At 41.1% G+C, this 23,727-nt stretch overlaps 1 protein-coding gene and 1 pseudogene across 43 annotated transcripts in view, besides 1 other annotated feature; one reads left to right on the plus strand and one right to left on the minus strand.

The window, feature by feature from the left end:
• TLK2 (tousled like kinase 2) overlaps positions 1-23,727 on the plus strand; it is a 144,568-nt gene that overhangs the window by 30,806 nt on the left and 90,035 nt on the right. For 21 of the 43 annotated variants that reach the window (XM_024450552.2, XM_024450553.2, XM_047435179.1 and 18 more), the window contains exons 3-6: positions 19,054-19,125; positions 20,485-20,554; positions 21,415-21,458; positions 22,517-22,612. In XM_024450552.2, coding sequence (XP_024306320.1) covers positions 19,054-19,125; positions 20,485-20,554; positions 21,415-21,458; positions 22,517-22,612 — 282 coding nt within the window. Of the gene's footprint in view, positions 1-3,715; positions 5,574-5,661; positions 5,731-6,688; positions 6,835-19,053; positions 19,126-20,484; positions 20,555-21,414; positions 21,459-22,516; positions 22,613-23,727 lie in introns of those variants that run through there. The other 22 variants (XM_011524221.3, XM_047435182.1, XM_047435180.1 and 19 more) reach the window with 6 other exon arrangements.
• Positions 9,416-9,616: a silencer, noted in NCBI's record as "peak2934 fragment used in MPRA reporter construct". NCBI's record gives its function as "represses an SCP1 promoter by STARR-seq MPRAs in K562 erythroleukemia cells {active_cell/tissue: K562}" and the evidence as "EXISTENCE:reporter gene assay evidence [ECO:0000049][PMID:32103011]".
• On the minus strand, positions 14,556-15,085 carry RPS10P26 (ribosomal protein S10 pseudogene 26; annotated as a pseudogene).

Here is a 23,727-nt window from a genome sequence, read left to right on the forward strand (position 1 = left end):
GAGGCTAAGGCAGGAGGATCACTTGAGCCCAGGAGTTTGAGACCAGCCTGGGCAATATAGCGAGACTCATCTCTACAAAAAATATAAATAAATGAAAATTAGTCAGGTGTGGTGGTGCACGCCTGTGGTCCCAGCTACTTGAGAGACTGAGGTGGGAGGATTGCCTGAACCCAGGAGGTTGAGGCTGGAATGCAGTGGCACAATCAGTGTCACAAACAAACAATCAAACAAAGTCTTCCTAAAAAGAAGAATCCAGACCTACATGGCTTTGTTGGTAAATTCTATCAAACATTTAAGGAAAAAATACCAATTTTTTTTTTTTTTTTTACAAATTTCACAAGACATTTATGAGGCCAGCATTACCTTGATACCAAACCAGACCAAGACATTAGGAAAAAAGAAAACTGTAGCTCAATATCCCTCAACATATATATAGAAATAATTAACAAAATACTAGAAAATTGAATCTAGCAGTGAATAAAACCATAACTAATTGGATTATCCCAGTTGCAAAGTTGATTTAGCATTAGAATTCATTGTAATTCACCATATTAATAGAATAAAGGAGAAAAGCTAAGTGGCTTTGTAATAGTTACCTAAAAAGCATTTGACTAACTGTTAACACTATTTGTGATAAAAGCTCTCAGCTCACTAGGAATAGAAGGGAACTTCTTTAATCTGATAAAAGGCATTTATGAAAAATATATAAGTAACATCATACTTATGGTAAAAGAGTGAATGCTTTCTATATAATACTCCAAACAAGTCAATGGTAATTGTTTTCGCAACCTCTATTAAACATGTTCCAAAGGTCCTAGCCAATGAAATAAGACAAGTAAAAGGAATAATCTTACAGATTACAAAGTAAAAGTAAAACTATTTATTCTTTAGATGTCATGATTGTACACATAGCCTTAAGCAAGCTATAAAAAAGCTACTAGAATTTAAGTTTAGTTAGAATATAAATCAATTTGCAAGATCTAGTTGTATTTCTCATACTAGCAATGAACAATTGGCAGTTGAAGTAAAAGCGAAAAAGAAAAGCAAATCATTTATAATAGCATCAAATAATGTGCAATGTTAAAACATTCCCCAAGAACAGAAGAAATTATTTTATATTCTTGTTTCATGGATGAAGGCATTCAGGTGCAAAGGATTAAAGAACATTAATTTGTTCATAAGCATGTCTTTATAAACATCTATGTAGTAGATACTGTGCTAGGGATATAGTAGTGAATAAAAACATTGACCCGTGCCCTCATAAAATTTATAATCTAATGGAAATTGAAGGGAGAAATAAATGTAGGACCTCAGTTTCCGGCTTTGGCTTAACTTTTTTTTTTTTTTTTTTTTTTTTTGAGACGGAGTCTCGCTCTCTCGCCCAGGCTGGAGTGCAGTGGCGCGATCTTGGCTCACGGCAAGCTCCGCCTCCCAGGTTCACGCCATTCTCCTGCCTCAGCCTCCCCAGCAGCTGGGACTACAGGCACATGCCGCCATGCTTGGCTAATTTTTGTATTTTTAGTAGAGACGGGGTTTCACTGTGTTAGCCAGGATAGTCTTGATCTCCTGACCCTGTGATCCGCCTGCCTTGGCCTCCCAAAGTGCTGGAATTACAGGTGTGAGCCACCGCACCGGGCCTGGCTTAACATTTTTTATTTAGATGAGTGGTTCAAAGCTTTTACTTTTTAGTTATAACTTTTTTTTTTTTTTTTTTTTGAGACAGGGTCTCACTCTGTCACTTAGGCTGGAGTGCTGTTGCACGATCTCAGCCCACTGCAACCTCTGCCTCCCGGGTTCAGGTGATTCTCATGCCTCAGCCACCCTAGTTGCTGGGATTATGGACGTTGTGCCACCATGTCTGGCTAATTTTTGTGTTTTTAGGAGAGATGGGGTTTTGCCATGTTGGCCAGGCTGCTCTTAAACTCCTGGTCTCATGTGATCCTCCCGCCCCAGTCTCCCAAAGTGCTGGGATTACAGGCATGAGCCACAGCATCTGGCCTAGTTATATCTTTTTTTTTTTTTTTTTGAGACAGAGTTTCCCTCTTGTTGCCCAGGCTGGAGTGTAATGGCGTGATCTCAGCTCACTGCAGCCTCCCCCTCCCAGGTTCAAGCCATTCTCCTGCCTCAGCCTCCCGAGTAGCTGGGATTACAGGCATGTGCCACCACCCCAGCTAATTTTTTTTTTTGTATTTTTAGTAGAGACGGGGTTTCTCCATGTTGGTCAGGCTGGTCTGGAACTCCCGACCTCAGGTGATCCACCCGCCTTGACCTCCCAAAGTGCTGGGATTACAGGCGTGAGCCACCACGCTCGGCCAGTTATATCTTAAATATTGTGACTTGTTGAATAATTTGGCCCCTATGGGTGGCAAGTTATTTTGTTGTAATACATGCTTGGTAGTTCATAGGGTGGTTGAAACTGGTTGGTTGGTTAAAATTTCATGTTAAGGATGGTCCATGCAGGACTCCCATATAGGGGAAAAGAAGTAACTAATAATCTTCATTGAGCACCAACTATATTTCAGGCACTGTATTACCCTCATCCCCAACATATAGTACTGTTTTATTTAATCCTTGAAACATCCATAAGGTAGGTGGTTTTTACTCTTGAAATCCACAGATTTCAAGAAGAGCTAATAGAACTTCAGTGATTTGCCCAGTTTCATACAGTGGTTCAGAGATTTAGTCCTACACCTATTTGACTTTAAACTGTCAGGACCAGCTGTTCTCTGTTGATCATACCCTTGGACCATCCCATGTGTTCCTAGTCAGGAGGAAATGCAAGTAAATGAGATTAATTTTTTAGGCAGGGCATGGTGGCTCATGCCTATAATCTGTGCACTTTGGGAGGCCAAGGTGGGTGGATCTGTAGAGCCCAAGAGTTTGAGACCAGCCAGGGCAACATAGTAGGACCCCACCTCTACCAAAAAATTAAATTAAAAAAAGCCGGACATGGCGGCATGAACTTGTAGTCTCAGCTACTTGGGAGGCTGAGATGGGAGGATTGCTTGAGCCTGGGAGGTTGAGGCTGCCAGTGAGCTGTGATGGCACCACTGCACTGAGCCTGGGCGACAGAGTGAGACCTTATCTTTAAAAAATGTATATATATAGTGCTAATTTTGAGTCTATTTTATTATTTATTTATTTATTACTTTGAGACTGAGTCTCACTCTGTCTCACTTAGTGGCGTGATCTTGGCTTACTGCAACCTCCGCCTCGCAGTTTCAAGTGATTCTTCTTCCTTAACCACCTGAATAGCTGGGACTACAGGCGTGCGCCACCATGCCTGGCTAATTTTGGAAGTCTTGGTAGAGACAGGGTGTTGCTGTATTGCCCAGGTCTCGAGTTCCTGACCTCAAGTGATCCACTTGACTCAGCCTCCCAGAGTGTTGGAATTACAGGTGTGAGCCACTCTGCCTGGCCGTGATTTTATTTTAAAAGTACGTCACTCACAAGAAAAAACACTGTCAGGATTTCTTGTCATGCACCTCACAGCTGATATGTCAAAATGCCAGTTTTATTTCTTATTTTAAAATTTTGTTTTAGAGGCAGGATCTTACTCTGTTGCCCAGACTAAAGTGCAGTGGTGCAGTCATAGCTCACTGCTGTCTCAAACTCCTGGACTTAAGTGATCCTCACAACTCAGCCTTCTAAGAAGTGAAGACTACAGTCATGCACTACCATACCCAGATTTTTTTTTTTTTTTTTTTTTTTTTTGGTAGAGACCGGGTCTCACTACATTGCTCAAGCTGTCTTGAAGTCCTGGCCTCAAGTGGTCCTCCCGCCTTAGACTCCCAAACTGTTGGGATTACAGGCATGAGCCACCACATGCAGCTCAAGACACCAGTTGTTTTTTTCTTCTTCTTTTATTCTATTTTTTTGTTTTTATTTTTGAGACACCATTTTAAAAATGCTTTTAATACACTGTTTTCAAATTTTTTTGAGACATATTCTTGCTATGTCACCCAGAATGTTGGGTGGAATGTTGACTCCTGCATCTTATTGTTATACCAATTCCAGGCTGGAGCGCAGTGGTGCGATCAAGGCTGACTGCAACCTCCGTCTCTTGGGCTCAATTGATCTTCCTACCTCAGCCTCCTTAGTAGCTGGGACTGCAGGTGCATGCCATCATGCCTGGCTAATTATTTATTTTTTTTGTAGAGATGGGGTTTTGCCATGTTGCTCAGGCTGGTCTCAAACTCCTGGGCTCAAGTGATCCTCCTGCCTCGGCCTCCCGAAGTGCTGGGATTACAGGTGTGAGCCTCCGCACCCAGTCAATACACTTTAATCCAAGTCAGTGTCTATTTAAATTTTAAGTTAGTTTAACTCTGAGCCATGGGCCTGTACCTTGGAAATATGTAATTTAGAGTCATAAGTAACAGTTATCTAGCTGAGAGTCATATGTGGGTTATACCAAATGTACTGCCATCATGTGATTATAGGTTAGTAGTGTAATTTTTGGAATTGGCAGGTCACAGATGAGATTGCCATGGCTTGGTGGAAAGCTCTCCCAACTGTCTTCTCCAGACAGATAGGTAGAACCTGGAACCAGTGCTAGGACGTGTGTGTATGTAGGAGGTAGTCATTGGTTATATGAACTTAAAGTTGCTATCTTAACTTCTGGGCCTTGAAGGAAGGCCATATTAGTGACATCTGCTTAGTTCTTTATAGTAAACTTGTTAACGCTTGTGCCACAGTCAAGAACCAGAACTGGAATGTTGACTCCTGCATCATCTTACACCAGTTCCAGTAGGAATTTTGTTATACAGTTTCTGCTGGAGATGGCAGTGGGATTTTTTTTCTTTTTTTTCCTCATATGTGAAGTAATAGTCTGTTCACAACAGAAGAAGCCACAAAACTAAACTTATTGGTCACTGAATTTTCTTCAAGGTTACATACCTCTTGGGTATTTTAAATCTAGATTATGTTCATTTTTATATTTTTGTTCTCATTTTTCTATTTCTTTGTTTTCTTTACTGTGAATGTGCTCCAGGATTTTGTACAGAGCTTCTAGTTTCTGTCTGTAATTTAAATATTGAATTTGTTCTCGATAAAAGAGAACTTTTTAGCATAAAGAGAAAGCTAAAAACATAGATTATAGGCCCCATAATGAAATGTGTAGTAGTTGCATATGGCTAGTGCTTCTCTGTGTATTGGAATTGTACTGTTTTCCCTTAGAATTTGTTTTTTCTTTAATGAGTAATTTTCAGTTATATAAAGAATGTTTGCATACTTTTATAATAATGAGAACTGTAATAGCTCATTTTCCACTCAGCAGATGATTTTGGAGATTTACTAGGTAGATGTTGATACATACAGACCTAGTTTGGGTCATTGTTCTTTAAATAATCATCCTGTAAACACATTTATTTACAGTGTTTTGTCACTTATTGAAAGTGGGGTTTTTTTTGGCGGGGCGCGCTGAGTCACATCTGTAATCCTAGCACTTAGGGAGGCTGAGGCAGGAGAATCGCTTGAACCCAGGAGGCAGAGGTTGCGGTCAGCCGAGATCGTGCCATTGTACTCCAGCCTGGGCAAAAGAGCAAAACTTTGTCTCAAAAAAAGAAAAAAAAAAGGTAAACTTTTTTTCACTTGACCTAGAACTCTTCTGTTTATACACATCAAGGAAGAACTTAACAGATTTCACATCTGTTTCACTTCTAGGAATGCTGCAAGGTCTCTGGGAGTCAAACTATTTTGATGGCTATTTTGACTCTGGTATGGTATGAAAAGGTAGTACTACTAGTGACTAAAATAAAAAGCATAGAGACCTTTAGTTTTTTTAAATGGCGTTATCTTCTTTACTGGAGTATGGGGTAGTTTGACTTTGTTGGCAGCTATGCTTCTTTATACCTAGGCAGGCGTAACTTTTGTCTTCTGTTCTCAGTCCCTTTTAAGCAGCCAATTTGGTCTAAGGAGGAAATGAAAACTTTAGAAACTCAGTAAATGTTGACATTTAAACTTTTACAGGAGTGAAAGATTAACCTTTGGCCTCTATTCTACAAGTTTTTCTTAGTTTATATGAGCCTCCTTCGTGGTGCTAAAGGGCTGGTAGTCAACATTTGCATCTTAACCTCAGTGTTCATGGATTTATAATTTATCCACAGAATTTTCTCTAGGCTTGTAACTAAAGTATTTTTTAAGATCCCCCTAGAAAAAAAAGTACATTTTAAGTATATTAGAAACATGTTTTATTTTTGCAAACTGTACTCTTTTAAAAACAAGAAACTTGACTCTTGTTCATCTTCTAAACTGTCCATTTGATTTTTTTACTTAGAAAATTATTATCAGCAGGAGACAGGGGAGGTAGTTTAAATGTTGTCATAGACAATATAACTTTTATGGAGAGATCTTATCAAAATTAGTTTTGATTTAACAAATCAGACTAGTTAAATTTGTTTAAATTTGTGAAATTAACAAATTTAAACCAGTAAATTAAAAAAATTTCCTAGTTTTTTTTTTTTTTTTTTTGAGTCTGTGGGTGGCTCTTTTAAAGGATAATTTTCCCTCCCAAGTGATATGGATATTAGTAAGCATTCTCCCAGATAGCTATTATATAGCAAATGACAAGTAACAGACTATTTTACTAAGAAAATAAGATAAAATACCACATAGTTAAACTTAAATAATGTGGACAAAGAAGCATTTAATGTACAAGAGTATGAATTTACCATTCAATTTATGGTTTTAGGAAAACTAGAAAAGAGGAGGAAAAAACAATAAATATGCAAGAAGAAATAAATACATTGCAAAACAGAAGAATGGGAAATAATCAAGAGTTGGAAAATTAGGAAACAAAAGGCAAAATGAAGGAGAGTACATCGGATATAACAAAAGGTACTGAGGACTTACAAAAAGAAAATACTGGAAGTGAATGTTGTTAGTTATATGAAAGTCTCAATGAATAAATAATTTCAAAGATACTAGGAATTAATACTGACGAAATAAGACATAAAAATCAGAATAGGGGCCGGGCGTGGTGTTTCACGCCTGTAATCGCAGCACTTTGGGAGGCCGAGGGCAGGCGGATCACCTGAAGTCAGGAGTTTGAGACCAGCCTGGGCAACATGGTAAAACCCTGTCTTTACTAAAAATACAAAAATTAGCCAAGCGTGGTGGTGTGCGCTTGTAATCCCAGCTACTTGGGAGGCTGAGGCACAAGAATCGCTTGAACCCGGGAGGTGGAGGTTGTAGTGAGCCGAGATTGCACCACTGCACTCCTGCCTGGGCAATAGAGTGAGACTCCATCTCAACAACAACAACAACAAAACCAGAATAGACTCCTGTAACCAAGAAAAAAATTGAGGCGATTATAAAACTACTTCCTCCTCTCTAGGTGTTGGTGATTTCTCCTAACCTTTTATTTTATTTATTTATTTATTTATTTTTCGAGACAGGGTCTTGCTCTGTCACCCAGGCTAGAGTGCAATGGTACAAACATAGCTCACTGCAGCCTCGACCTCCTGGGCTCAGGCAGTTCCCCTACCTCAGCCTCCCAAGTAGCTGGGACCACAGGCATGGGCCACCACACCCGGGTAATTTTCTAATTTTTTGTAGAGATGGGATCTTGCTATGCTGCCCAAGCTGGTCTGGAACCCTTGGGGTCAAGTAATCTTCCCTCCTCAGCCTCCCAAATTGTTGAGATTATAGGTGTGAGCCACCACTCCTGGTCTCTCCTAACCTTTAAGAAGCGGATACTTCTCATGTTGAATAATATGATAGAAGTAAACAACTCTGACAGCAAAATGACAAACATGAAAAAGTAAAAGTGAATGTATAGATGTTTAAAATAAAATAAAAATACTAGTAAATGGCTACAGCAGATTATTCCTTTGTTTTGTTTCAAGTAGGTTATCCTAGGAATGTCAAACAAGTTCGTGTTTAAAAACTCAGTAATATTTCTAGAGTCAGTGCTGTGGTTTGAATGTGTTCCTTCCAAAATTCAGGTGTTGCCAGTGTATTAAGAGGTGATTAGGTAAAGAGAGCTCCTCCTCTCATGAATGGGACTAGGTATCCTTTTAAAGGCTTGATGGCGTAACCTTGTCTGTTTTTACACCTTGCCATGTGAGGACAGTGTCCGTCCCCTCTTGCCCTTCTGCCTTCTACTTTGTGAGGATGTAGGATTCCTTCCCTCTGGAGGACACAGTGTTGAAGGCACCATCTTGGAAGCAGAGCCTGGACCCTCACCAGACACCTAACCTGCTGGTGCCTTGGTATTGTACTTCCCAGCCTCCAGAACTGTCAGAAATTAAATTTCTGTTTTTCATAAATTACCCAGTCTGCTGGGTGCAGTGGCTCATGCCTGTAATCCCAGCACTTTCGGAGGTAGAGGCGAGTGTACTGCTTGAGCCATTCGAGACCAGCCTGGGCAAAGTGGTGAAACCCCGTCTCTACATAAACACAAAAATTAGCCAGACGTGGTGGCATGTGCCTGTAATGCCAACTACTTGGGAGGCTGAGGCAGGAGGATTGCTTGAGCCCAGAGGTCAAGACTGCAGTGAGCCAGGATTGGAACACTGCACTCCAGCCTGGGTGACAGAGCGAGACCCTGTCTCAAAAAAAATTACCCAGTCTCAGGCATTCTGTCATAACAGCACCTACAGACTAAGTATGGCTTAATGGTGAGAAGTACTTTTTTTGAACCAGATAGCCTTGGTTCAGATCTTGGCTTTGCTTCCTAATGACTGTGTGACCTTGAATGAGTTTACTGATCTTCTTATGCTTTCCTCATCTGTAAGTGAGTAATAAGAGCAGCTACCTCACAAGGTAGGGCAACCATAACAGATACCACAGACTGTGTGGCTTAAACAACAGAAATTTATTTTCTTATAGTTCTGAAGACTAGAAGTGCAATAGCAAGGTGTCAGCAGGTTTGGTTTCTTCTGAGGCCTTTCTCCTTGGCTTGCAGATGTCTGCCTCCTTCCTGTGGCCTCATATTGTAGTCCCTCTGTGTGCATACATGTCTGTGCGTGCTCACTTGCTCTCTCTCATTCTTTGTCCTGATCTCCTCTCATAAGAATACCAGTTTTAATGGATTTACGCTTCTATCTCCAAATACACTAAAGTACTGGAGATTAGGGCTTCAACATAGGAATTTTGGGAGGACACAGTTCAGCTCATAACAGGTTGTTATGAGGGTTAAATGCCCTGATATACCTGGCCCTAGCAAATGCTACCTAAGTGTTGGTTATCATTATTATTACTTTACAATAATAAGTAATACATAAAACCCCAAAAACTTTAGAAAAATCTTTTTTATTTCAGAGTAATTAGAGATTGGCAGGAAGTTGCACAAAATGTATAGGAAGGTTCTGTTCATGCACCGTGCATCTCTCCTCATGTATAATTCTAGTATGTTATTAAAACCAAAAAATTGACATTGGTACAATCCATAGGACTAATTCACATTTCAAGTTATACATGAATCATTTGTGTGTGTGTATTACACTTCTAGGCAATTTTATCACATGTGTAGCTTGTAACCACTACAGTCAAGTTGCAGAAACTACTTCATCATAAGGCTCTTTCCTGCTACGCGTTTGTAGCCACACCCACTCACTCTCCCTTGAAAACTTAATTCTTGACAACTACAGATCTATTTTCCTCTATAATTTCATTATTTCATAATTAATATATATAAATGGAGTCACAAAGTACACAACCTTTTATTTTGAGACAGAGTCTCACCCTGTCACTCAGGCTGGAATGCAGTGGTGCAATCTTAGCTCACTGCAGCCTCTGCCTCCTGGGTTCAAGTGATCCTCCCATCTCAGCCTCCAGAGTAGCTGGGACTACAGGTACACACCACCACGCTAGCTAATTTTTAAATTTTTTGTAGAGACAGGGTCTCACTATATTGGCCAGGCTGGTCTTGAATTCCTGGGTTCAAGCAATCTTGCTGCCTTGGTCTCCCAAAGTGCTAGAATTACAGGTGTGAGCCACCGCACCCAGCCTACAGCTTTCTGAGATTGGCTTTTTTCACTTGGCATAATTTCCTTGAAGTTCCAAGATTTTGCATATATAAATAGGCCATTCCTTTTTATTGCTGTGCAGTGTTCCATGGTGTGGATATAGTACACTTTACTTAACCATTGCCTCCATGAGGACATTTGGTTTGTTTCCAGTTTTTGGCTATTATGAACAAAGCTACTCTGAACATTCTTATAGAGGTTTTTACACCAACATGTTTTTCTTTCTCTGGAATAAATGTTCAAGAGTACAATTGCTGGGTCAAATGATAAGTTTTAAGTGCATTTTTAGTTTTAAAAGAAACCGTCAAAAAAGCTTTACCTTTTTACATTCTCACTAGCAATATATGTAAGTGATTCAGTTTCTCTACATCCTTGACAGTGTTTAGCGTTGTTGCTATTTTTTATTTTAACCATTCTTAAAGGTGTGTAATGAAATCTCATTGTGGTTTAAACTTTTATTTCCCTAAAGGCTAACGTGTTGAACATCTTTTCTTGTGCTCATTAGCCATCTTTACATCACCCCTCCTTTTTTTTTTTTTTTTTTTTTTTTTGAGATGGAGTTTTGCTCTTATTGCCCAGGCTGGAGTACAAATGGCATGGTCTCGGCTTACTGCAACCTCTGCCCCCTGGGTTCAAGCAATTCTCCTGCCTCAGCCTCCCGAGTAGCTGGGATTACAGGCATGCACCACCACGCCTGGCTAATTTTGTATTTTTCAGTAGAGACGGGGTTTCTCCACGTTGGTCAGGCTGGTCTCGAACTCCTGACCTCAGGTAATCCGCCTGCCTCAGCCTCCCAAAGTGCTGGTGAGCCACCGCCCCCGGCCTACATCCTCTTTAGTAAAATGTCTATTCATATTTTTTTGCCAATTTTCTAATTGGAATTCTTTAGATAGTCTAATCTCAAGTTCCTTGGTAGATGTGTGACTTGAAAATATTTTCTTCCAGTCAGTAATTTGTTTCCTCATCCTGTTTACAGGGTCTTACTCTGTACTTTTGATGAGCTTCCATTTATCAGTGTTTCCTTTTGTGGATTAGAGCTTTTGGTGTCAAGTCTAGGAACTGTTGGCTTAGTTCTAAGTTGTAGAGATTTTTCTCCCCTTTTTTCCTAACAGTTTTATGTTTTACATTTAAGTTCTTGATCTATTTTGTTTTTTTCTCTTTTAAAAATTTATTAATTATTATTATTATTATTATTATTATTATTATTAGAGACGAAGTTTCGCTCTCGTTGCCCGGGCTGGAGTGCAATGGTGCGATCTCAGCTCATTGCAACCTCTGCCTCCCAGGTTCAAGCGATTCTCCTGCCTCAGCCTCCCAGGTAGCTGGGATTACAGGCACCCGCCACCATGCCCAGCTAACTTTTTGTATTTTTAGTAGAGACGGGGTTTCACAATGTTGGCCAGGCTGGTCTTGAACACCAGACCTCAGGTGATCCACCTGCGTCGGCCTCCCAAAGTGCTGGGATTACAGGTGTGAGCCACCACACCCGGCCGAGTTAATATTTTATAAGGTGTAAGCAAGGTGTTTTTTTGTTTTGTTTTGTTTGTTTGTTTTGCCTATGCATCTAGTTGTTCCAGTAGCATTTATTTAAAAGTCTCTTTTTTTCAATTTATGTAATTTATTAAATTGCCTTTTTTTTTTTTTTTTTTTAAAGAGACAGGTTTTTATTCTGTTGCCCAGGCTGGAGTGCAGTGGTGTGATCATAATTCACTGTAACCTTGCACTCGCACTCCTGAGCTCCCGCCTGAGCCTTCTAATTAGCTAGGAGCTAGGACTGCAGACAGTGCCACCATGGCTGGCTAACTTTTTCATTTTTTTGTACAGATGGGATCTCGCTTTGTTGCCCAGGCTGGTCTCAAACTCCTGGGCTCAAGTGATCCTCAAGCTATCCTCCCACCTCATGCTCTCAAAGTGTTGGGATCACAGGGGTGAACCCTATTAAATTGCTTTTATACTTTTGTAAAAAATCAGTTGGATATATTTATGTGGGTCTGTTTTTTTTGTTTTGTTTTGTTTTTTGGGATGGAGTCTGGCTCTGTCACCCAGGCTAGAGTACAGTGGTGCGATCTTGGCTCACTGCAACCTCCGTCTCCTGGGTTCAAGAAGTTCTCTGCCTCAGCCTCCTGAGTAGCTGGGATTACAGGCACCTGCCACCACGTCCAGCTAATTTTTTGTATTTTTAGTAGAGACAGAGTTTCACCATCTTGGCCAGGCTGGTCTTGAACTCCTGACCTTGTGATCCACCCGCCTCAGTCACCCAAAGTGTTGGGATTACAGGTGTGAGCCCACCGTGCCTGGCCAAGGGTCTGTTTTTATAAGCTGTGACGATTAAATGTGCTAATATAGAATGTCTTGCCTGTAAAGTGCTACATTATGTGAGCTTTTGAGGATTGTGTTTAAAAAAAGTGCTACGTGTTAGTTATTATTGTTATTACTTTACAACACAGCAAATAAATAATAATTTTTTTTTTTTTGAGATGGAGTCTCGCTCTATTGCCCAGGCTGGTGTGCAGTGGTGCGATCTCAGCTTATTGCAACCTCCACCTCCTGGGTTCAAGCGATTCTTCTGCCTCAGCCTCCCAAGTAGCTGGGACTATAGGTGTGTGCTACCATGCCTGGCTAATTTTTGTATTTTTAGTAGATATGGGGGTTTCACCATGTTGGCCAGGCTGGTCTCAAACTCCTGACCTCAAATGATCCACCACCTCAGCTGCCCACAGTTCTGGGCTTACAGGTGTGAGCCACCATGCCCAGTCAATAATAATTAAAAAAAAAAAATTTGGATAAACTCAATAGTCATTCCTACTTTGTAATTTTAAAAACAATACAGTTTCAAAAACTTTTTAATTGTGGTAAAATACACATAACATAAAATTTACCATCTTAACCTTCTTTTTTTTTTTTTTTTGAGATGGAGTTTTGCTCTTGTTGCCCAGGCTGGAGTGCAGTGGCGCGATCTTGGATCAATGCAACCTCTGCCTCCCAGCTTCAAACCATTCTCCTGCCTCAGCTTCCTGAGTAGCTGGGATTACAAGCGCCCGCCACCACACCCAGCTAATTTTTGTATTTTTAGTAGAGATGGGGTTTCGCCATGTTGGCCATGCTTCTCTCAAACTCCTGGCCTCACGTGATCCACCTGCCTCAGCCTCCCAAAGTGCTGGGCTTACAGGCGTGAGCCACCGCGCCCAGCCCTGAGCCACCGTGCCCGGCCCACCATCTTAACCATTTTTAAGTGTACAGTTCAGTAGTAAATACATTCATATTGTTTGCATCCAATTTCCAGAACTTTTTTTGCCTAGGAAAATGAAAACTGAAATGCCCATTAAACAACTCCTCATCTCTACCTTCCTCCCCAACCCCTGGCAGCTACCATTCTACTTTCTGACTCTATGAATTTAACTATTATAGGTGCCTCATCTATCACAAAGTATTTGTCTTCTTGTGACTGGCTTATTCACTTAGCATAATGTTCTCAGGGCTTATCCATGTTGTAGAATGTAGAATTTCATGTATACACCACATTTTGTTTATCCATTCATATGTTGATGGATATTTGAGTTGCTTGCACCTTTTGGCTATTGTGAATAATACTGCCGTGAACATGGTTGCACAGCTATCTCTTTGAGGCCCTGCTTTCAACTCTTTTGAGTATATTCCCAGAAATGGAATTGTTGTATCATACGATAATTCCGTTTTTGAGGAACTGCCATAGTTTTCCATAGTGGCTATGCCATTTTATATTCCCATCAACAGTGTGCAAGTATTCCAGTTACTCCAGATCCTCACTAATACTTGTTATTTTGTAGGGTTGGTTGGTTTTTTGTTTTCTTGGTAGTGGTCACCTCAATGGATGTGAGGCGGTGTCTTTTTGTGAGTTGCAGTTTCCTAAAATTAGTGATTTTGAGCATCTTTTCATGTGGTCGTTGGCCATTTTTATATCTTTGGAGAAATATCTGTTCAAGTCCTTTGCCCATTTTTTCATTGGGTTGTTTATTTTGTTGTTGTTGAGTTGTAGCAGTTATTCATATATTTGGGTTATTAATGCCTTACCATATATGTAAATTGCAAGCATTTTCTCCCATTCCATGGGTTTCCTTTTTATTCTGTTGATTGTGTTGTTTAATGCACAGATTTTAAATTTTGATGTCTATTTTATGTATTTTTACTGTTTTTATCTCTGCTTTTGGTGTCACATTCGAGAAATCATTGCTAAATTCAACGCTGTAACACTTTCTCCCTGTTTTCTTCTTCTTTTTTTTGAGATGGAGTCTCTGTAGCCCAGGCTGGAGTGCAGTGGCGCGATTTCAGCTCACTGCAAACTCCTCCTCCCGGGTTCAAGTGATTCTCCTGCCTCAGCCTCCCAAGTAGCTGGAATTACAGGCGCCCGCCACCACGCCCAGCTAATTTTTGTAGTTTTAGTAGAGATGGAATTTCATCATGTTGGCCAGGCTGGTCTCAAACTCCTGAACTCAGGTGATCCGCTCACCTCGGCCTCCCAAAGTGCTGGGATTACAGGCATGAGTCACCGCGCCCGGCTCTCCCTGTTTTCTTCTAAGAGTTGATTATAGTTTTAGTTCTTTTTTTTTTTTTTTTGGCTGTAAATTTATTCAATGCAAAAGAATCCTCTCCAGTTTTACTGAGGTGGCTGACCACGTCCACAACCAAATCCGCCTCTAAACTAGAATTCGGTTGCTGACCCAGCCCCAGCCTCGGCTTTCTTGTCGGCACCAGGTAGCACAGCACTCCTCATATACAGACCTTTAGGCCGAGGCCTGCCAGTCTCTGGACGGCTACGGCGTAGGGTGGCAGGCACAATCTCCGGGGGCAGATGAAGGTAATCACGGAGATACTGGATACACTCATTGGTAAGGTACCAGTAGAAATGTCTCCAGGCAAAGTGTTCTTTCACGTAGCCTCGGCACTTGAGAGACTGCATGGCCTTCATGACATGAAGGTTGGGCACATTCTTGTCTGCCAGCTCCGGGTGCTTAGGCATGTGGACATCCTTCTTGGCCACCATGACTCCCTCCTTAAAAAGGAGTTCATAAATGGCAATCCAGTTCTTCTTAGGCATCAACATCTCTGCAGCTGCAGGGTCCGGGGCCGGGGCTGGAAAGCTAGTTTTAGTTCTTATGTTTAGGTCTTTGATGTGTTTTGAGTTAATTTTTGCATGTGGTAATGGTCCAACTTTCATTTCATTTGCATGTACATATCCAGTTTCTCCAGCACCATTTTTTGAGACCGTCTCACTCTGTTGTCCAGGCTGGAGTGCGCTGGCAGTAATCTCAGCTCACTGCAACCTCCACCTTGCAGGTTCAAGTGATTCTCGTGCCTCAGCCACCCGAGTAGCTGGGATTACAGGCGTGTGTCACCATGCCCAGCTAATTTTTGTATTTTTAGTAGAGGTTGGGTTCGCCATGTTGGCCAGACTGGTCTCAAACTCCTGACCTCAAGTGATCCGCCTGCCTCACCCTCCCAAAGTGCTGGGATTACAGGCGTGAGCCACCATGCCAGCCTCCAGCACCAGGTTTTGAAAAAATTGACTTTCACCATTGAATAGCCTTGGCACCTTATCAAAAATCATTTGACCATGTATGTGAGGATTTCCTTCTGGCGGTCCATTCTTTTCCATTGATATCTGTCTGTCTTTAATGCCAATACCACGATGTTTTGATTACTATAGCTTTGTAATTTTTTATTTTTTATTGATTTATTTATTTATTTTGAGACGGAGTCTCGCTCTGTTGCCCAGGCTGGAGTGCAGTGGCGCGATCTCAGCTCACTGCAAGCTCCACCTTCCGGGTTCACGCCATTCTTCTGCCTCAGCCTCCCAAGTAGCTGGGACTACAGGCGCCCGCCACTGCACCCAGCTAATTTTTTGTATTTTTAGTAGAGACGGGGTTTCACCGTGGTCTCGATCTCCTGACATTGTGATCCGCCCGCCTCGGCCTCCCAAAGTGCTGGGATTACAGGCGTGAGCCACCACGCCGGCCGAATTTTTTAAAATTAATTATTATTATTATTTTTTGAGATGGAGTCTCACTTTGTTGCCCAGGCCGGAATACAGTGATACAATCTCAGCTCACTGCAACCTTCACCTCCCAGGTTCAAGCGACTGTCCTGCCTCAGTCTCCCGACTAGCTGGGACTATTGGTGTGCACCATCCCGCCCGACTATGTTTTGTAATTTTAGTATAGATGGGATTTCACCGTGTTGGCCAGGCTGGTCTTGAACTCCTGACCTCAGGTGATCCGCCTGTCTCGACCTCCCAAAGTGCTGGGATTACAGGCGTGAGCCATTGCGTCCGGCATGTAGTAAGTTTTGAAATCAGGAAGTGTGGGACCTCCAACTTAGTTCTTTTTCAAGATTGTTTTGTCCGTTTGGGGTTTTAGCCCATTTATGCTTAGTGTTTCATTATTGGGTTGCTAAGCTTGTGGCAGTTATTGATATCCTACTGTTCAAGGTCATCACCAAGGTCTGATTTTTCACAGAAAAAATTTGCAACCTCGGGCATAAATGGGTTAATATAGTTTTTAATGGTAAAGCATTAGAGGTGTTACCATGAAAATGAAGAACGGAAAAATGTTTTCTATGATTATTATTTCATGTTTTATTCAGTGCAGTAAAATGTAAAACAAATAAGAGGTATAAATTATAGAAAGGAAGATAAAACCTTGTTATTTACAAATGCTATGATTTTATACCTAGACAACTAAATGGAAAGGAACAAACTGGGCCTGGTGCAGTGGCTCATGGCTATAATCTCAGCACTTTGGGAGTCTGAGGTGGGCGGATCACTTGAAGGCAGGAGTTCCAGACCAGCATGGCCAACATGGTGAAACCCCTTCTCTACTAAAAATACAAAAAAATTAGCCAGGTGTGGTGGTGTGTGCTTGTAATCCCAGCTACGTGGGAGGCTGAGGCGGAAGAATTGCTTGAATCTGGGAGGCAGGGGTTGCAGTGAGCTGATATCACACCTTTGCACTCCAGCCTGGGCTACAGAGCGAGACTCCGTCTCCAAAAAAAAAAGAAAGAAAGGAAAAGACTGAAAATGATTAAGAAGAACAATTCAGTAAAGTGACTGGCTAAATAAAAACCATGAAAATTAATAATTTCTGTATATCAGCAGTAACATAAAAATAGGAAAAATTGCTTTTAAAATTAAGTAATAAACATGTTTTTATTTTACTCATAACTGTTTTGTTTTGAGACAAGGTCTTGGCTCTGTCACCCAGGCTGGAGTGCAATGTGCAGTGGCGCGATCTTGGCTCATTGCAACCTCTACTTCTCGGGCTCAAGCGATCTGCCCACCTCAGCCTCCAAGTAGCTGGGACCACAGGTGCACACCACCATGCCTCGCTAATTTTTTGTATTTTTGGTAGAGATGGGGTTTCACCATGTTGGCCAGGCTGGTCTCTAACTCCTGAGCTCAAGGGATCCACCCACCTTGGCCTCCCAGAGTGCTGGGATTATAGGAGTGAGCCACTGCTCCCAGCCTGTTTTGAGTTAATTTTTATGTTGATGTGAAGGAAGGGTACAACTTCATTGTTTTGCCTGTGGCTATCTACTCCTGGCACCATTTGCTGAAAAGACTATTCTTTCCCTCGTTGAATTGTGTTGGCACCCTTGTCAAAAATCATTTGACCACAATTATGGATTTATTCCTGGACTCTCAATTCTATTCCATTGATCTAACCTTATGCTAGTACTGTACTGTCTTGATTACTGTGGCTTTGTTTTTAGGTGATGAAGTATGAGCCTTCCTGCTTTTTCAGGATTGGTTCCTAGCAATTCCATATGCATGTTAGAATTTGCCTACCAATTTCTACAAAGAAGTCAGCTGGGGCCGGGTGCGGTGGCTCACGTCTTTAATCTCAGCACTTCGGGAGGCGGAGGCGGGTGGATCACCTGAGGTCAGGAGTTCGAGACCAGCCTGGCCAACATGGCGAAACAATAATAAATTATTATTGTTTATAATATAAAATTATTTCTTCCTCTTGATGCTACTGTGTATGGAATTATTTTCTTCATTTTCAGATTGTTCAATTGCAAGTATAAAAAAATGGATTTTTGTCTATCAGTCTTGTATTCTACAACCTTGCTGAACTAGTCATTAGTTATAAAACGAAGGCTCCTTGTGGCTGTTTTATGCCCTGGGTCTCTCCTACAAACTAGCCAGTCTACAGTCTAGGCTGTATCTTCATTACATCCAGGAACCTCTTTCCACTTGCGTAGTACCACAACCCCTATTGTTTTTGGGAACACCCTTAGACTGAAACTTGTCACACTCTTGCAAGTGAAGTTAGGTCCTTTGAGATACTCTGTGTTCCTGCTTCTTCCCTTAGGCAAAGTATCTGAGCCAGGGTTCTAGTGGTAGACTAGGTGGGGACAATAGCAAGCTTTTCTGTGAATGCTACCCCAGCTCTAGGAGGGTATGGGGCAGGTCAGCAGCCTGGGGTCCTCTTGGCTTGTCTCTCCTGTTGTGGAACCACTGTCCCATGAGCTGGGAGAGAGGGTCGTTGGATTCCCAGTATTCTCAGTGTGTCATGCCTATGAAAGAGCCCCTTTTCCACAAGTAGGGATTGAGCAGAAGAAGGGAGCCCCTGCCTCTGAGAGTACTTGCCTGAGACAGCCTCAGCAACAGAAGTCAGGGCAGGATGAGAAACACTGAAGTCGCATTCTTCCCAGGAATAAAGAAAGCCCTCAGGGATGGGTGCGGTGGCTCACAACTGTAATCCCAGCACTTTGGGAGGTCGAGACAGGCAGATCACCTGAGGTCAGGAGATCGAGACCAGCCTGGCCAACATGGTGAAACCCCATCTCTACTAAAAATACAAAAATCAGCTGGGCGTGGTGGTGGGCACCTGTAATCCCAGCTACTCGAGAGGCTGAGGTGGGAGAATCACTTGAACCCAGGAGGCAGAGGTTGCAGTGAGCCGAGATCACGCCATTGTATTCCAGCCGGGGTGATAACAGTGAAACTCTGTCTAAAAAAAAAAAAAAAAAAAATCATCAGGCTTCTTCTTCAGTTTTGCTATCCTCTTAGGATTAAAATTTATTTATTTATGATTTTTTTTTCTTTCAGGGACCACTTAATAGTGAGTCTTCCAACCAGAGCTTGTGCAGCGTCGGATCCTTGAGTGATAAAGAAGTAGAGGTAAGAAGCTATGTTCATGGCAGGACTTTTCATACTTGTACGTTTGGGCCAGGTTTGGTGGCTCAAGGCTGTAATCCCAGCACTTTGGGAGGCTGAGGCGGGCAGATTGCTTGAGGCTGGGAGTTGGAGACCAGCCTGGGCAACATAGTGAGAACTCGTTTCTACAAAAAAACTTAGCAGGGTGTGGTGGTACACACCTGTGGCCCCAGCTACTTGGAGGTCGGAGGATCGTTTGCACCCGGGAGAATGAGGCTGCAGTGAGCTGTGATGGCACCACTGCACTCCATCCTGGGCGACAGAGTGAGACCCCCATCTCACAGAAAAGATAGCACTGCTTAATTAACTCCCTGGGTGCTGTTAGACTCTGTGTAAATTGCTCCCCTTTGAGCTGTGTGCTCTTTGCATACGTACAGTTATGATGTGGCCCTCACGGGTTTTTATTATAATCATGTGTGGATCTTACATGTCTTAAAATTTTTGCATAGTTGCCATCAGTAAAGGATAGAAATTTGCAATATTGTTCCTGTTTAAATGGAAGATAAAATTGATTGACTGATTTTATTTTTACAACTTTTTTCGAGACATGGCCTCGCTCTGTCATGCAGGTCAGAGTGCAGTGGTGCAATCATAGCTCATTGTAACCTGACACTCCTGAACTCAAGCAGTCCTCCTGTCTCAGCCTCCTGAGTAGCTAGGTGCCACCGTGCCTGGCTAATTTTTAAAAATATTTTTAGAGGCGGGGCCTTGCTATGTTGCCCAGGCTGGTCTGGAACCCAAGCCATCCTCCCACCTCAGCCTCCAAAGTGCTGGGATTACAGACATGAGCCACAGTGCCTGGCGAAGACTTTTTGTTCATTTGCTTAACTATTCACAGCCCTCATGCATGAGATTTTTTTTTTTTATTTGGCATATAACCTAGCTGCCTGTAGATGGGTCTAAGTGTAAGTCTGTAGCCACCTACTTTGTACTTTGCAGATCTCTCCTTTTTGGAAAAAAGATTGGATTTAAAGTAGAAGTAGTGTAACAACAGTTTTCTGAGAACTTAACATATGGTGGACATTTGTCCTACATTTGTGCTCTATTAAATATCTTATGAAGGTTTTGTAGCAGCTCTGATTTACAGATGAATAAACTCAAGCTCTGATATTTTAAGCAGTTTGCCAAAAATTGTGTGGATGGTTTGGTTCTAGACCCTAATACTCTTTGTTATACTCAGTTTTAAGAGGAAGACAGTGATTCAGGACTTGTCTGGGCCAGTTATATCTGTTTATATATTCAATATTTTGTGTATACTCGCTGTTTTTCCTAACGTGAAAAATTTACCAAAATGCTAATTGTGACTTATATGGTATTTGACAGACTCCCGAGAAAAAGCAGAATGACCAGCGAAATCGGAAAAGAAAAGCTGAACCATATGAAACTAGCCAAGGTAGTAATAATTTCGTATCAACAAAAGTACTCAATTCTAATGTACTTAGATAGAATTTTCTAACTCATACTAAATAATTAGTTTGTACACAGGGATTCCTGATAAAGGAGGTTTGTGTATCTTAAGGGAATATCAGACTGTTTATTACAGACTTGCCATTTGGTATACACCTGACAGAACAGTGTTAGTTCTTCGGGGACTCTTTTGTTTTCCCTGTTGTAAGCTAACAATCTTCTTAACCACAGGTTTTTCTTTACACCAAATATATATTGTACAAAAAAGAGGTTATGTCAGAGTTTTAACTCTTGTCTTTTGTTAGATCAGTGATTTGTTAATGACAGCCAGCTAAAAGTGCTTCATTTACATTACTGTCCTTTCTGCCTACTGTTCTTCCGTGGCAGTTGTTTAGTTGAATATTGGAACCCATTGGGATAAATCTGTAAACATGATGGTTATAATGCCAAATATCTTTATATAATCAAAGAAAGAAAAAATGGCTTGGCTTTTTTTCCTCCCATTCTAAGGAATAGAAAGCCCAGTCTTGTTGCATCCTTCTTATCTTTTAAAATCTACAGATAATTCATTTTGTCTTTGGGAGCAAAATTCTCCCAAAGTGACAAGAAAAATTACAGAATCTTAAAGCTGTGAAAAATTCTTCCTTTCACTGCTTGTTCAGTCCTTTATTTTATGGAGGAAATAGTCTGTTCTTGGGCTAAGGTATTTTGGCTCATTTGTTACAAGTAAAGCTGACACTTGGGTTTATAGCAATGTATGTAGTTACTGAATGTATAGTACATTTTAGTGAATGATGGTTTATATGTGTATTGGAAAAACTGTATTTACTTTGGTTTCATTTTCAGGGAAAGGCACTCCTAGGGGACATAAAATTAGTGATTACTTTGAGGTAAGTTACATTTTTTGAAAAAACAAACAAACAAAACAAAACAAAAAAACTCTATAGTGATTTTTTTTAAAAAACCCTAAATCCTTGTGTTCATTTGAGGCTTTAGAAAGTAATATTTTGGCCAGGCGAGGTGGCTTATGCTTGTAATCCCAGCACTTTGGGAGGCCAAGATGGGAGGATCGCTTGAACCCATGAGTTCGAGGCCAACCTGGGCAACATGGGGAAACCCTGTCTCTACAAAAAACAGAAAAAATTAGCCAGGTGTGGTGGCACACACTTATAGTCCTGGCTACTTGGGAGGCTGAGGTGGGAGGATCACTTGAGCCTGAGAAGTCGAGGCTGCAGTGAGCCATGATCTACTGCACTCCAGCCTGGGTGACAGTGAGACCCTGTCTCCAAAAAAAAGAAAGAAAGAAAGAAAGTAATGTTTTGCCTTTACTGTACTCTTCTTCCCTTTCTCCCCATCTTCATCAGTTAATGCTGCCCCATCTCTCAATAAGAGAAAACTGCTGCTGCCTTCCTAAATTTAAATTTATTATGTGTCTTGTCTGTGATGATATAAGAATTCACAAATGAGGTGATTTTTCTCTTGGCCAGACGAGGTTTTGTGTCTTACAAAGATTGAGGTGGAATGACTTGGACTCTTCTTTTGTCCTCCTCCCTTTAGTACAGTGGAACATGTAGTGAGTTCCCTGACCCATCGTTAGTGGTTACTAAAGACACTAACATCCACTGCACCACTGCATTTCTGCTTCGTGTATTTGGAGACAAGAAGGGAAAACATTCTTCTCTCATGTCCTTTCAAAATCATGTATACCTTCAGCTTTCTAGCCATGTTTTCTTTATATCTTGGTATATTTCTGCTGGAGCTCCTTCTTAAAAATCTCATTAAAAATTAGCAGAATTTGACTTGTGTGGCATTTTCTCTCTAGAGTAAGATGTGTTAACTTAAAGGGGCCATATAATTAAGATCTGTTTGTGTATTAATCTTTTACTCTCCTTATCTGAAGCATAGTACTGTTTTGAATTATTCATATCGGTTTTTCCCTGTTGGCCAGTTTGCTGGGGGAAGCGCGCCAGGAACCAGCCCTGGCAGAAGTGTTCCACCAGTTGCACGATCCTCACCGCAACATTCCTTATCCAATCCCTTACCGGTAAGCATTCACCTGGAGAAATTTGACACCTGTTGTAGGAGACAAGATGCCCAGAAACACTCAAGCAAAGTTTCTCTTTCATTAATTACCCACAGGGAATGAAGCATTAGGGAGAAAAGTTCATAGTTTTACCTATGAATCCCTTACTTTGATTCAAATCTGTTGTCAGTAAATTAGCTTTTTACAGAAGAGCCAATCCTAATATCTCTATATAATAAATTACCTCTAATCCTACAGCTCAGTAGTCTATCAAAGAATTGATTCCAATCGAAACATTAGGTTTTTTCCCTTGCCAAATTTGTATGTTCCTTTAGGGTTTATTTTTATTTTAAAATTTGACCAGCTTCTGGCATAATTGAGTTATCTCCAGAGCTTATTCAGTAATGTACTAGAAAAACTAATGCTATGCAGATTTGTGATAGGTATGTTTCCAGCCTGTAAAAGAGATCTGAAGGTCTTAAAAACATTATACCTAAGTTAATGGTTCTCAGTTGGTGGCAGTTTTGCCCCTCAGGAACATTTGTGAATAACTGGAGTCATTATTGGTTGTCACTGCTCGGAGGTATGGGGATGACACTATAGGCATCTACTGGGCAGAAGTCAGGGATGCTGGTAAACATTCTGTAATGTTAGGACAGCCTCCCTGCAAAGAAGAATTACCTGGTCCAAAATATCAGTGGTGCCAAGGTTGAGAATTCCTGAGTAAGCTAACATAGGATTATGTTTATTTGCTCCAGTGTCTTCGCATTATTTGTTGATACTGTGTAAGACCTCTTACTCAAGAGTGTGCTCTATCCCCTAATACCTTAGGTATTGCCTCTGGGATCTTGGGAGACAGGGTCTCTGGGACAGAAGTTTTTATTTTAGATCACTGATTTTTAGGAAAGTTGTTTTTCTTTGCCTTGGTAGAGTTGTGTAATAGTACTCATTTCCTAAGCGATTTAGGCTTCTGTATTGTTAAAGTATTTTAAAATGTACTTTCTCCCCCTCTACTGTCTCATAAAAACCTTCATTAGGATTATTGTAATTATTAAAGCACTTATGAAAACATAAGTTAAACTTATGAAAACAACTAAGAAGTTTTGGCTATTACTGTGTCATCCTTGCCATATATA

This window comes from Homo sapiens, chromosome 17 (assembly GCF_000001405.40).
Source record: "Homo sapiens chromosome 17, GRCh38.p14 Primary Assembly".
In the NCBI taxonomy this organism is placed as follows: Eukaryota; Metazoa; Chordata; class Mammalia; order Primates; family Hominidae; genus Homo; species Homo sapiens.